The sequence below is a fragment of the Homo sapiens genome, chromosome 10 (assembly GCF_000001405.40).
Source record: "Homo sapiens chromosome 10, GRCh38.p14 Primary Assembly".
NCBI lineage: Eukaryota > Metazoa > Chordata > Mammalia > Primates > Hominidae > Homo > Homo sapiens.
This window is the reverse complement of record NC_000010.11, coordinates 116260446-116273154: the sequence shown is the minus strand read 5'-3', so window position 1 is coordinate 116273154 and position 12709 is coordinate 116260446. Positions and strand designations below refer to the sequence as shown.

General features: G+C 47.6%; 1 protein-coding gene across 11 annotated transcripts in view; it reads left to right on the top strand.

Annotated features, from left to right (window-relative positions):
- Positions 1-12709, top strand: part of GFRA1 (GDNF family receptor alpha 1) — a 217781-nt gene that overhangs the window by 1551 nt on the left and 203521 nt on the right. For 4 of the 11 annotated variants that reach the window (NM_001382561.2, NM_001382560.2, NM_001382558.2 and 1 more), the window contains exons 1-4: positions 501-594; positions 880-1165; positions 2040-2333; positions 3569-3652. In NM_001382561.2, coding sequence (NP_001369490.1) covers positions 1126-1165; positions 2040-2333; positions 3569-3652 — 418 coding nt within the window. In that variant the 5' untranslated portion in view covers positions 501-594; positions 880-1125. Of the gene's footprint in view, positions 1-145; positions 288-500; positions 595-679; positions 753-879; positions 1166-2039; positions 2334-3568; positions 3653-12709 lie in introns of those variants that run through there. The other 7 variants (NM_001382557.2, NM_001382556.2, NM_001145453.4 and 4 more) reach the window with 4 other exon arrangements.

Below are 12709 nucleotides of genomic sequence, written 5' to 3'. Positions count from 1 at the left end.
CATTTGGAGTTTTTTTCGTTCTGTTTGGGAACCCATTGCCGCTTCCCGTCCCTCTTCCCCACTCCTTCTTCCCCCCTCCTCCGGCCACCCCTTTCTTTTTGCTGGCGTCTCCCAACTTTAGGGCCCGGGGGGCGCTCGTGGCGCCGGGCTGCACCTGCCGGGGCACGCCGGGACTGCGGGCCGGCGCGCTCGCCCTGGGCTGGGGTGCGGAAGCGCCCGAGTCCTGGGCACCGGGCGAGAGTGTGAGAGGAGCGGACGCCCAGGAGGGAGCCGAGGACGCGCGGCGGGTAGGGGGTAGGGGCGCAGGAACCGGGTTTCAGCCCCAGTCGGGACATCGGTTCCCCCTGGCTTGGCGGCCTCTGGAGGGAGACGAGTCCCGGGGAGAAGGAGGGCGGCGACTGGGGCTAGGGATTGGCGATCGGAGTGGGGAGGGCCGGCGGCTGAGCGAGCTCGCTGGCTGACGCGAGGAGGGGGAGGCCAACTTCCCGGGAGAAGGGGCTCTTTCGGCGCCAGGGCTGGCTAGGGAGCTGCCGCCGCCGCCACCGAGGGCTCGGACTCCAGGCAGCTGCAGGCTCCGCTCGCGACGCTCGGAAAGTACCGTTTATTTATTTATTTGCTTGCGTTCAGCGTCTCGGGTTGAACCCAACAGACACCCCCTTGGACTTTAGGAACCCTCTTCAGACCTCTCCAGCCCTCACCTCCATCCCCGTGTCAGCGGCCCCTGGAAAACACGCACATGCACCCCGACCTGGGTGGGGGTGGGTCCTCACCCCGGTGTTGGAAATTCCCCAAAGGCGGGAACGGGGGAGGGGAGAGGGTTCTGTGGGGGGAGTCTCCGGCGCTCTCCGCTCTCATCTCAAAGCGCGCCCTCCCTTCCAGGTTGGGTCGGACCTGAACCCCTAAAAGCGGAACCGCCTCCCGCCCTCGCCATCCCGGAGCTGAGTCGCCGGCGGCGGTGGCTGCTGCCAGACCCGGAGTTTCCTCTTTCACTGGATGGAGCTGAACTTTGGGCGGCCAGAGCAGCACAGCTGTCCGGGGATCGCTGCACGCTGAGCTCCCTCGGCAAGACCCAGCGGCGGCTCGGGATTTTTTTGGGGGGGCGGGGACCAGCCCCGCGCCGGCACCATGTTCCTGGCGACCCTGTACTTCGCGCTGCCGCTCTTGGGTAAGTCGAGGCCCGCCGCGGGCTTTCTTACCCTCTGAGTCTTTCCTAGGGTCGCTTGCAGCAGCCCACCCCGCCCTCCGCACCAAAATTGGGGCGCGGGTGTGGTGGATGTGGAAGGAAGAAGTGTCTTTTTGGGGAATGGGATCGCGAATCCCCGGGTTAGGGAGGCGGTGGCGGCGCGGCGCTGCCTGAAGCTTTTCGGGCTTGGTTTTGATTTCCTGTGGTTTTTAATGACCCAACTTGGCGGGGGACTAAGAAGCCCTCCAGCCCAGGGCCCTGCACCCCCAGAGAGTCTCTGGGAGCTCGCGGAGCCGCGGCGGGCAGGTGGAGTTGGGGAGCATTGGGGCCGGGAGAGCAAACTTGGAAGAGAAAAGTTTTTCCCGAGTAGCTTCTGGGCACTCTCCGCCCGGCGGACCGCTGACCATGGCTGGCCTGCCCCGCGCCCAGCGCGCGCCCGGTGCCCAGTCCGCCGCCGCACTTCTCCTCGGAAAGCGCCTGAGTTTCAGCCGGGCGGAGCGGGTGGCTGGAGCCGGGGGTGGCCCGGGAGCCCGGGTCGTTGCTCAGGCCAGGATGCCCCGGGGCGGAGGGCCGACGTGCGCGGTGGGCAGCGCAGGCTCTGGAGCAAACCCTTGAAGCCCGCGGGCTGAGCCTGCGCCACTCTTCCTTGCGGGCCCGGGAGGAGGAGAGAGGAGCTGGAATTCCAGGGGGCGGGAAAATGGACTCCCGGATGGTCGAGAGGTGGACCCGCTCCCAGAGCAGGGCGCCCCCGAAGGCTGGTCAAGCATCCCTGACCCGGGCGCGCGCCCTCGCCCGGAGCAGGGGCGGCCGGGGTCCCCGCCCGCCGCACTCAGGCTCCCTCCCCTCTGCCCCGCAGACTTGCTCCTGTCGGCCGAAGTGAGCGGCGGAGACCGCCTGGATTGCGTGAAAGCCAGTGATCAGTGCCTGAAGGAGCAGAGCTGCAGCACCAAGTACCGCACGCTAAGGCAGTGCGTGGCGGGCAAGGAGACCAACTTCAGCCTGGCATCCGGCCTGGAGGCCAAGGATGAGTGCCGCAGCGCCATGGAGGCCCTGAAGCAGAAGTCGCTCTACAACTGCCGCTGCAAGCGGGGTATGAAGAAGGAGAAGAACTGCCTGCGCATTTACTGGAGCATGTACCAGAGCCTGCAGGGTACGCGTGGAACCTCCCCACCCCACCCCGTGTCCCTCCCCGAAGGCAGGCGGGCCTTTCGTCCCTGGGCCAGCTGATCTCATCCTCCACTCACTTCTCCCCAGCTGCAGAGTGAGGACCTTTCCTTGGCCCCCAGGGACAACGGCAGCTGGTGTTTGCTGGGCTGACCAGCATTGTTGGGCCTGTTGTTGGAAAACCCATGAGGAGGACGGGGGCTGGGGGGAGGGCCACCCCCGGGACCCCGCTGACCTCTCTGAAACCTGGTCGGAGCATGGGAGGAGGATCCCACTAAAGGGCCCCAAGGAACCCACAACTTCTTTCCAAGGAGAGCCAGCCTGGGGCTTTCGCTGGCCTCTCAATAATAATAGGAAGGCTTGCCCTGCATCTGGTCTGGACTCCCCCTGTCTTGTTCCCTTTAACCTGCTCTGATGTAAGATGAAGTATTGTAAAAGGTCCAGGAGAATCCAGTGTATCTTCACCCTCCCCACCTAACGTGATCAAAGGCAGATGTGTGAAAATCCATTTGTCATCTTAGATTAGCTGAGTCTTGAACCAGCTGGTGTGGTTCAACCTTGGTTATCACAGAAGTAGCTCAGGGAGAGAAAGATCCACTGGTCACAACCATCCAGTCCAATGGGAGTGTTTTGGTCCTCATAAGCCAGAGGGGGCTCATGTTTGTAAGCCTAACGCAAACATCTTGTGTGTTCATTCTTGACTGAGACTCACACTGGAGATTTGTATTATACAGATTTGACCTGTCAGCGGTCACTTCCTCCAGAGTCTATTAATGAAAACCTGTTTCAGAGGTGGGCTGTTTAATAGCCATGGTACCTGCTTTCCAACCGTATGCCAGGTTTTGGGAGCAAGCAGAAATAAGGGTCTTTCCTGGGTCACCTTTCTTCCATTGGCTCCTGGAGGCAAGCAGGGCTCGTGACGTCACCGGCTCTTCCCTCTCTGATTTCTATTCCTTTGCAAAGAGTGGGAGAGTTTTCTGGCAAGATAGGGCTGGGTTGTTCTCCAATATTTTCATGGCACTCTGGGGAGAACAAGGACAACAAAGGCGGAGGGAATGAAAAGAAATAACCATAGTGAAAGAGATGCATTTGAAATCTTTCAAAGTTTCAGCGTCTTTTTGTTACACAATCATAACATAATTAGAATTCAGATTCAGCAGCAAAAACCTGCTTGAAATATATGTTTTTCTGATCTGAGCCCAATCTTTCTGTTGTTTTTAGGAAATGATCTGCTGGAGGATTCCCCATATGAACCAGTTAACAGCAGATTGTCAGATATATTCCGGGTGGTCCCATTCATATCAGGTAAGCAGATTTATACTTCCATGCTGATGCCTTTGTGTGCTTGAATTCGTTGGCTTGCATTCTCTTTGGCTCTCAAAGAGCATATAAGTAGATAGTTGAATGGCACAGTGTTTCTGGGAAATTAGAAATAGGATGATGATAATGAAGAGGCATAATGCCTAGAGATGATTGTATGACTTGAAAGTAATTCTAAATGAAGTAATGTGGTGTGGTGGTTTGGAAGAGGTTCGAGGGAGGTGACTTGGTTGAGTATTTTTTTTTTTCCACATTAAAATATGATTGGCCATCTCTTGCAAAGGGAGTGCCACTTCTGTCTGTAGGTGGCAATCGTATTCTCTTCTTGCTGCATACCTTACATAGTGCCTCCCTGGAAATGGGATCTGTTCAGATTATGCCACTTACTTTACAAGACGCCCAAAGATAATCTTAGATTGTTGAAAAATTTGGGATGAATTCACTTGTCTGCCTTTGATTTAAAAGATTAAGCTCTGCCATTTGTTAACAATTCTTTTGCTTCTATTTTTTCCTGAGCAAGTGTGTGCATTTATGAGAGAATGTACTCCTGCCCCAATGGCCCTTTTAAATGTAGTCTCGCTTCCCATGGTTTGTTTTTTCTCTCTTTGCAGTTCTATGTGTGGTTTGGAAATGAACTTAATTTTGGAATTAAGTTTTTTGTAACATCTGCATTCAGACAGCCCATAAATAAGCAAGGCAGTAATTTATCTTTATGACATACAGATTCCAGACTAATGTTGTCTTTATTTATTTACAGTTTAGACATTTTCTCAAGTATATATAGCCACCACAAATTATATGTCTCTCAGTGGTTAAACGTGATGGGTAATGTTGAATTTGATTCTATGAGATTATGGTTTGTAACTGATGAGAGTGTCTTGGTGTTCTAAATGTTTTGTGTTTTTTTGCAGAAAAGCCACAGAATCAAGGGAGTGTATAAATACTGATATTTTATTTGGGTGTGTTATACATGCATTCATCCATTCACCAAACATCCATTGAGCACCTACTGTGTTCTAGCTATTGCGGTTTGGGCAGTGAGCCAGTCATCACCTTGCCTTCATGAATCTTAGAGATAGCCAGGAACTGACATTGATTAAGTCTTATTATTTGCCAAGCAATGTGTTAAAAGTGTTACATCATTAACTTAGGTAATCATCAAGTGCTTCTTAGGTATTATTATTTCCATTTTATAGATGAATAAATTGAGGCATAGTGAAGTTAGGGAAACAGCCCCAAATCACAAAAGTCTTAAATGGTAGAACCAGAACTGAAACTCAAATTTGTTTGATTCTAAGCTTTTGTAACATCTACCCTTTGCTACTCAGAGTGTGGTTCTTATACCGGCATCATTGACATTGCCAGGGAATTCATTAGAAATACAGGATCTCATTTGAACTACTGAATCAGAATACACATTTTAACAAGATCCCTAGGCTGGGTTCTTCATATGTACATGAAGCTTGAGAAGCATTTCTCTACATTATTCTGTCTTTTCCTTCAGAGGAAAAGTGTGTGTGTGTGTGTGTGTGTGTGTGTGTGTGTGTTAGTCTGTCAGTCTGTTTTGGCATAAGATATAAGGATACGAGTTTAGTGTAAGAGGAATTCAAATGTTTCTCTGAGTAATGCCAATAATTTCCACTCCATGTCACTTCTAGTGCTTTCTGTCCCTTTGATCCAGCCAGGACAATGGTTTAAGCAGTGGAGAGGAGAGGTACAGACAAACGTATGTGACCACCTAAGCTCTCCTGGGAGCGGATCTGTAGAAACTGGGATGGGGTGTTGCCAGTGGAGTGCTAGGTGCCAGAGGCAAACCTGACCTTCATCCTGCTTTTGAGGGACAATGCCTGTTACCTACTGTCTGCCCTGTGGACTCCTCCTTTGTACTGATGCCTGGAAGGGTATGAACCTCTCCATGGTCATTGATAGTGAGAAAGCAGGCAAGGAAGAAGGGCCACTGGGTTTTAATTTCAGAATTTCTATGAGCAATGGTTTTTTTTTTTGTTTGTTTGTTTGAGACGAAGTCTTGTTCTGCCACCCAGGGCCCAGGCTGGAGTGCAGTGGCATGATCTCGGCGCAATGCTACCTTTGCCTCCCGTGTTCAAGTGATTCTCCTGCCTCAGCCTCCCGAGTAGCTGGGATTACATGCACCTGCCACCACGCCTGGATAATTTTTGTATGTTTAGTAGAGAAATACATGTCACCATGTTGGCCAGGCTGGTCTTGAACACCTGATCTCAAGAGATCCGCCTGCCTCGGCCTCCCAAACTGCTGGGATTACAGGTGTGAGCCACCGTGCCTGCCCGCAATGGAGTTTTTATTATTTTTTTAAAAACTTTTCTTTTTAGAGACAGGGTCTTGATCTGTCGCCTAGGCTAGAGTGCAGTGGCCTGATCACAGGTCACTGTTGCCCCAAACTCCTGGGCTCAAGCGATCCTCCTATCTTAGTCTCCCGAGTAGCTGGGACTACAGGTGTGCCACTACACCGGCTAGCAATGGAGTTTTTTTACACTCATTTTCCCTCTCAGAGTTGCTCTTTCATTTGTATAATGAGGCAATTGGAGTAAATAATCTCTAATCGTTACAGTCCATGGATCTGAGAAAAGGTTGGGCTCATCTCTAGAATTCTTCCATGGTTCTCTTACATCACCTTCTCTACCCTTGCAATCATTTCAACTGTTAAGGAGGCATGGTCATTCTCAGATACCACTGGTTTGTCTGAATTTATGAGTATTGGACATTCTTCTGCATGGGCCAAGTTTCACTTATGCATTCCTTGGATCCCATTCGCAGGCCAGCTTTCTTTTCACAGCAAGTATGATCTGGAGTTTGTGAGCCCTGTCCTGTCTAGAACCCAGAAATCATAATGAATTAGCCAGAGCCAGAAAGGCCTTGTCTAGAGCCCCATTTTCTATCTCAAGGGCATTGGCTTTAGGTTCCAGCACTAATGTGATTTGACCTCTGACAGTGACTGTGTTCCTTAAGTGGGATAGTAAAGCCAAATGGAGACTTGAGAGGCTTTAAGTCATTGAATAATGCATATTATCCAGTTTGGCCTTTGCAGGATGGAAAAGGATGGAGGAACAGGATGATAAATGTTGCTTTTCATGGTTTGAATCTGAGCTTTCTAGAACATCTCTTCTGTCTTGAAAATTTATCTGAGGAAGCCAGGACAACAGTGTCTCTGCTTTTCACAGATATGGTAGCAATCACTTTCCATGTTTGGATTTCTCTGCCCAACATGAAGAGCATGTTTATCCACATACACTAAGGGTGAGCTGAATCCTCGCAAGGAACAAGACATGTTTGACGTTCTTGTGTTTCCATTTTCCTTGGATTCCTCAAACCCACATTCACTTTAGCCATTGTTTGCTTGCTAACCACATAAAAGGCCTTGCTGAGGTATTATCAGTGGCCCGTTGGGAACAAGAAGGAGAACAAAAATAAGGTGGAATCTAAAAACCGTCCTGTTTTCAAGCTTGAAATGCAGAAGGGAAACCAAGTAGCCAAGTCAGGAGAGAACTGCAGAGGGAGGGTGGAGGGCTGCTTTCCAGAAACCTGAGAGCGGAAGCCTTTGGCCCCTGGGGCACAATTAAGGGCTTGAGGAGGTGTGTTTCCTGTGGGGTGAGGCTAGTGTGGGTTTTAGGGGCCTGGAACATGAAGCGAGCGGGAGGACACACAGGAGAAAGTGCGCCGGTGCAAGAGGATGTCGGAGGAGAGGCAGGAACACAGAAGTGTCCTAGGATCCCAGAGGGCAGAGCTGTGTGGGCGCTCAGAGGCTCAGAGGCAGAAGCCACCGTGCGCAATGCACTGTTTAGCATCTGCATCTCTCCCGGCCGAGATCTCTGCTCTTGCACCTCTATTCTGCCCCTGCTTTTCTTCCTCAGAAAAGTTCGAGACACAGAAGTAAACAGGGATTTGAAAGGATGATGAACCTGTTGGCAATTTTTTTTGGACTCTTGGAGTGGGAGAGCAAAGCAGTGAGAAATTTTGAAAATACAGTGAGTGCTAAGAAAAGCCTGAGGATGGGGAACAGAGGGAGGACAGAAGCACCTCTTTGGCAGCAAGGTTTAAAACTATTGATTGGGAGACTGGATTTTTGTAGAGAAGTCAGGAGATGCCAGGCCTTCCTTAAAATACAATCACAGTTGATGATATTGCATGCAAGAATCAAGTGGATAGATGGTAGGGAAAGAGTAATGTTAGGTTTTGAACATCCTGACTTGCTGGAAGGAAAAGTCCCAGCTTCTGGCGCTCATCATTTTCCTACCAAGTGCTAGGAGTGGCTTTGACCTTTCCGGGAAGCCTTAGGATCTCCAGATTCGTTCCCAAGTAATTGGAAGTGGTTTGCTCCAGGATGAGATGCACCTAAACTCTCTTTTGAGTCTTGCCTCTTTTTTTCTGAGTGATTCTGTGAATAATTAGCCATGTTTAGCATTTCTGTTCAAATGCACCGTCATATTTAAGTCATTATTTTTTAAAAAGTTATCACAAAGTCTACATGTTGGAGAAGAGCCTTGTAACATCACCTGCTTTCTTGTCAGGTCATGACGAGAGAAAGCCTTGTAAATACCAGCTATTAGGGATCGTGGTGGTCCTTTTCTTGCACTCAGCTCTCTAATCCTGGTGTTCCTATATTTGAGAACCCCCATTCGTTTCCTGTTATTTACTCTGGCATATGGTAAACTCCTTAGTGGGCCAGTGAAGGCCCTGCTCTCCATTTTGAAGCCCCACACCCCATCTCCACTCAAGCTCACTGAGCCAAACAATTCCCCAAGTATTTCATGTGCATTCACTTTCCTGTGCCTTTGCACATGGCCTTGCCTTTACTTAGAAATCTTCTATCAGTTCTTTAAGACCAAGATCAAATTTCACCTCTGAAGGCCTTTGCTGGAATCCCCCCAAACAGGCAATTCTACTCAGGGCTCCCTCATGCTCCATCGTGCTCTTGCCTTTATGGTAGCTATTAATCACAGCATATCAAGAGGACTTATTTATGTGTCTGTTTTTCCCACTGGAAAGTCGGAGACTTGCTTGTTATGCCAGGTGTCAACTCAGCACCAAGCATCTTTTCTTGATCCTGAGCCGGCATTCTGTCAATCACGAGTGGTTGAATGTTAGAGAAGAAGGGTCCCTAGAGATCTAGTCCAGTACTCTGTTTTTATAGACTTGAAGCTCAGAGAGGGGAGGGGATTGGACAGAGTCACAGTGCTTGAGGGTAGGCTTGGGGACCTTTGCCAGGTCATGGCACTGGTGTAGGGGGAGCCAGTGTTGGTCCCTTTCTGTCTGCATACTCTCTGGACCAGCCTCATTCATTCTGGAGACCTCAGCCACCACTTACATTGATGACTCAGAGCCTTCCTTCCTACTGCAGCCTCTCTTGAGCGCTAAACCAGCATTTCCAGCTGAGTCCTGGATGACTCCATCTGGCGGTGTCTCAGTTAACTCAAACTTAGCATGTCCAGAATGGATCTCATCATCTCTCCTTTGCTCCTTACCCTCTCTCTTCCTGGATCTCCAGTTTTATTTAATAGCATTATTGTCTTCCTAGTGGTCTGCACTATAAGCTGTGAAGTCATCTCCGTCCCTTCCATTGTCTTCAACCCCTTCAGCCTGACCCATCACCAAGTCCTGCTGAAATTACCTGCTGTCTTTTGAATGCTCCCCTCCTTCCACATCATGGATGTAACTGTCTTATCTCTCACTTGAACTCTGCATGGGCTTTCCAGCTGACTTCCCTAGCTTCTCCCAGTCCAACCTGACCTCCTCATTCCCAGGTCTTGTGCACCTTGGTGACTTTCAGGAACACTCTGGCTTCAGTCTTCCTTCACTCTTTTACTAACTGGCTTTTGATCTCGCCCCAGCCACCATGTATCATAGACAAGACAGGTTGAGCAGCTGCCGTTCTACTAGCACTCTGGGCAGCTTCATCCCTCCGTACCTTTGCACCTGCTGGTGCTAGGAGAAAGAACATATGCTCTGGAGTTCCACCAACCTGGGTGAATGAATCCCAGCTCTGCCATTCACCTTATCTTGAGCTCACTGTGCCTCAGGTTCCATGGGTGTAAAATGGGATGATGATAATGCCTACTGTATAGGTTCTTTTGGATTAAAGATGTTATATGTAAAATATCCAGTATAGTGCCTGAAACATACTTGGTCCTCAATAAATCTCAGTCCTTTTTAAAGCTACACTAAGGCGATGTTGGCTTGCTCCTGACTCAAGACTGGGACTCTTTTCAGCAGACCACATTGCCCCATCAGAGAATGATGATTCTATGTCTTGCAAAGGGTAGCAAACCTGAGCCTTCAGGAAGGCTGCTTATAAACTACCTTGGACAAGCAATGAAAAATCTATCCTCTATCCAAAAGGCCCTAGAGCAAAGTCCTGTCTCTTAATCACCTGGCCTGAGGCTTAGCTACCCTGTGGGGAAGGTCTTCCTTATTCCTGCACTGAGTCTCTCCTTTTCCCTTGGACCCCTGTCCTTATGCTCTGTGGTCGGAAGTGAGTTGGTTGCAGCTGGTGATCACCTGGGGTGGGAGCTTTTCCTGTGCTTAAGGATTCTTGTGATCAGCCTTCCCTTCCAAGCTTGGCTGATTCCTATTCCTCTAACCTCTCCCCATAAATCTTTCCAGTACCCCTCATAGCGGCAAGAATTACTGCTCCCTGAGAAGGGCATGCCTTAAACCTAGGAGATGCTTCCGTCTGCAAAGGCTTTGCTAAGTACACTTACATTTCACTTTCACAGACCACTACTTTTGGTTTTTATTCTCTCCCTGTCCTGCCCCTCAGCAATCCATTTTTGTTGTAGAACAATAGGAAATTGCAAACAGGTAAAAAAGGAAAAGAAATTTCAATCACCCAGCGTCCTACCACCCCAAAATAACTGCTGTAAACATGCTAATAGGAGCCTTTTCCAATTTTTCCTATATATGTAAATATGCATAGATGTGTATGTACATACATGTATACATATATTTTTTTTTACAAAAATGGTGTCATAATCTACATCTACTCTCTGATTACCTGCTTGATGATCTGAAAAACCTATGTCTTTCTGTCTCACTGACCACTTCCTAAAGGCAAGATTTTATTATTTAGATTAAATGTCAACCTCAAGAAGGTCCATGAATACAGGACATGCTAGTATCTGTACACTTGTGGCAAAGACCCAAATGTTCCAGTGAAGGCTGTGAAGGTACAGACAGTTAAATATTTTGCATAGAGTTACTGTAGGTCCTGTTAACAGAAGAAGGGAGATAAAACATCAGTGAGTGACAGGTAATTGTATGAACTGAAGATTGTTACAAGGTGCAAATTATTTATAGCCAATATGTCTGTCCTCATTCCTTCTTCTTAGTCCTCTGAAGTATTTCTTTTTGCCATCTCTTGATTTTTCTGCTGTCGAAGCTTGTTCTTTCCAAGGGATGTCCTTTTTGTTTTTTGTTCTCTGGGACACAGTAGCAAATTCTCAAGAGGAGGTATCAAATTGGGGCTTGTTTGGTAAAAGTGTATGGATCCAGGAGTCAGGAGATCTGTGTTCTGCTTCTAGCATCGTTTACCCGTAACTAGCTGGGTGACCTTGGGCCAGTGTCTGCAGGTCCTGAGAGTCATCTGCTCCTTTTGTAATTTGAGGGCAGTGGCCTAGAGTGATCTTTAACATATTAGGCTGGTGCAAAAGTAATTGCTGTTTTTACCATGACTTTTAATATTTTCCTTCCTTTTTGAAGGGCCCGTATATTGAATCTTACATAGTTATTCAGCAACTATTTTTCTTTCTAGCATTTTATTCATGCCAAGGAAACTTGTGATCTTGGCATATGTCTTTCATGTTCATAACCTTTATAAAGTATGATTTATTCAATGTATACCTTACTTTGAACTAGAATGTATTTAAGGCATCTTATTTGAATACATGGAAGAAGATAAAGTACAAAAGAAAATAAGTAAATGCAGAAGACAGGGGAAAAGAGAAAATGAGAGTAGGAAAGAGAAAATGAAGCTAGGAGTGAGCTCAGTAGACAAATACATGCTACAAGATTATATTTCAATAAATTAAATAATCGGAAGTGCGGCATTTGTTTCACGAAGGGATAAATAAAACCACTGGATTTGTAGATGCAGTAGGATGTTTGGAGGTCGTTCTAGTCCCGTCCCCGTATTTGACTGATAAGAAAGCAGAATTCCATAAATTGATAGGACAATGCAACATAAATTGTCTAGGACAGTGATGACAAGTAAAATTAGGTGTTTGCTTGTAAATGGGTATTTGAAACCCTCCATATCTTGGCATTTCCCCATCTCAGTTCAGTTGTCTTTCACCTGTTCAAATCTGTGCTCCCCCCTTAGGATACTACACTTTATTTTCTTTGTTTCTTTTAGCATGAGAGCCACAGCCATTGACTTTAGTTAAGGAGGTAGTTGTTCATTGTTTTGGAACAAGGGTTAATTAATAGGTCTCTGGCAACAAGAACTAGTGGCTGGAATGTTAATTTTCATATTTCTTGGCACCCTTCAGGGTTGTCTGTAAGGAAAAGTGAGAAATTATTTGTTGCGTTAAGCCCTCAGATTTTTTTTAAAGATAATCTTTCATTCAGAGTTTTTTGTTAAAGGAGCTTACCACTTCCTGTAATTTAGAGACTCAACTAGCTGGGTCAGTGATGAAAATGAATGAGTAATTTGCATAAGAGGCTAATTTATTATGTCTCCTGGGCATTTCTTTCATCTCTCTTTCCATTCTAATTAATGTTCTAAGAGGGTCTATCGCCATATCAGAAATTAGGGGTGAAAGCAGCTATTGTTAACCTTTATTATTATGATTTTTTATCTTCTGTAATCTTTTAACCATTTTCTTTTCATATCCAGGATTTACATAGACAGGGCTGTGGGGTATATGGAGAGATTTTAGAGGTATACTCTTTTACGATCTTTCTTCAAATAGTAGGCTGTTGTAAAAATAAAAATGACTCAGGATAGCTCTCCAGCCACAGGAGGATTTTCAAAACATATAGAACTATGCAGCCATGGTGGCAGAATTGTTT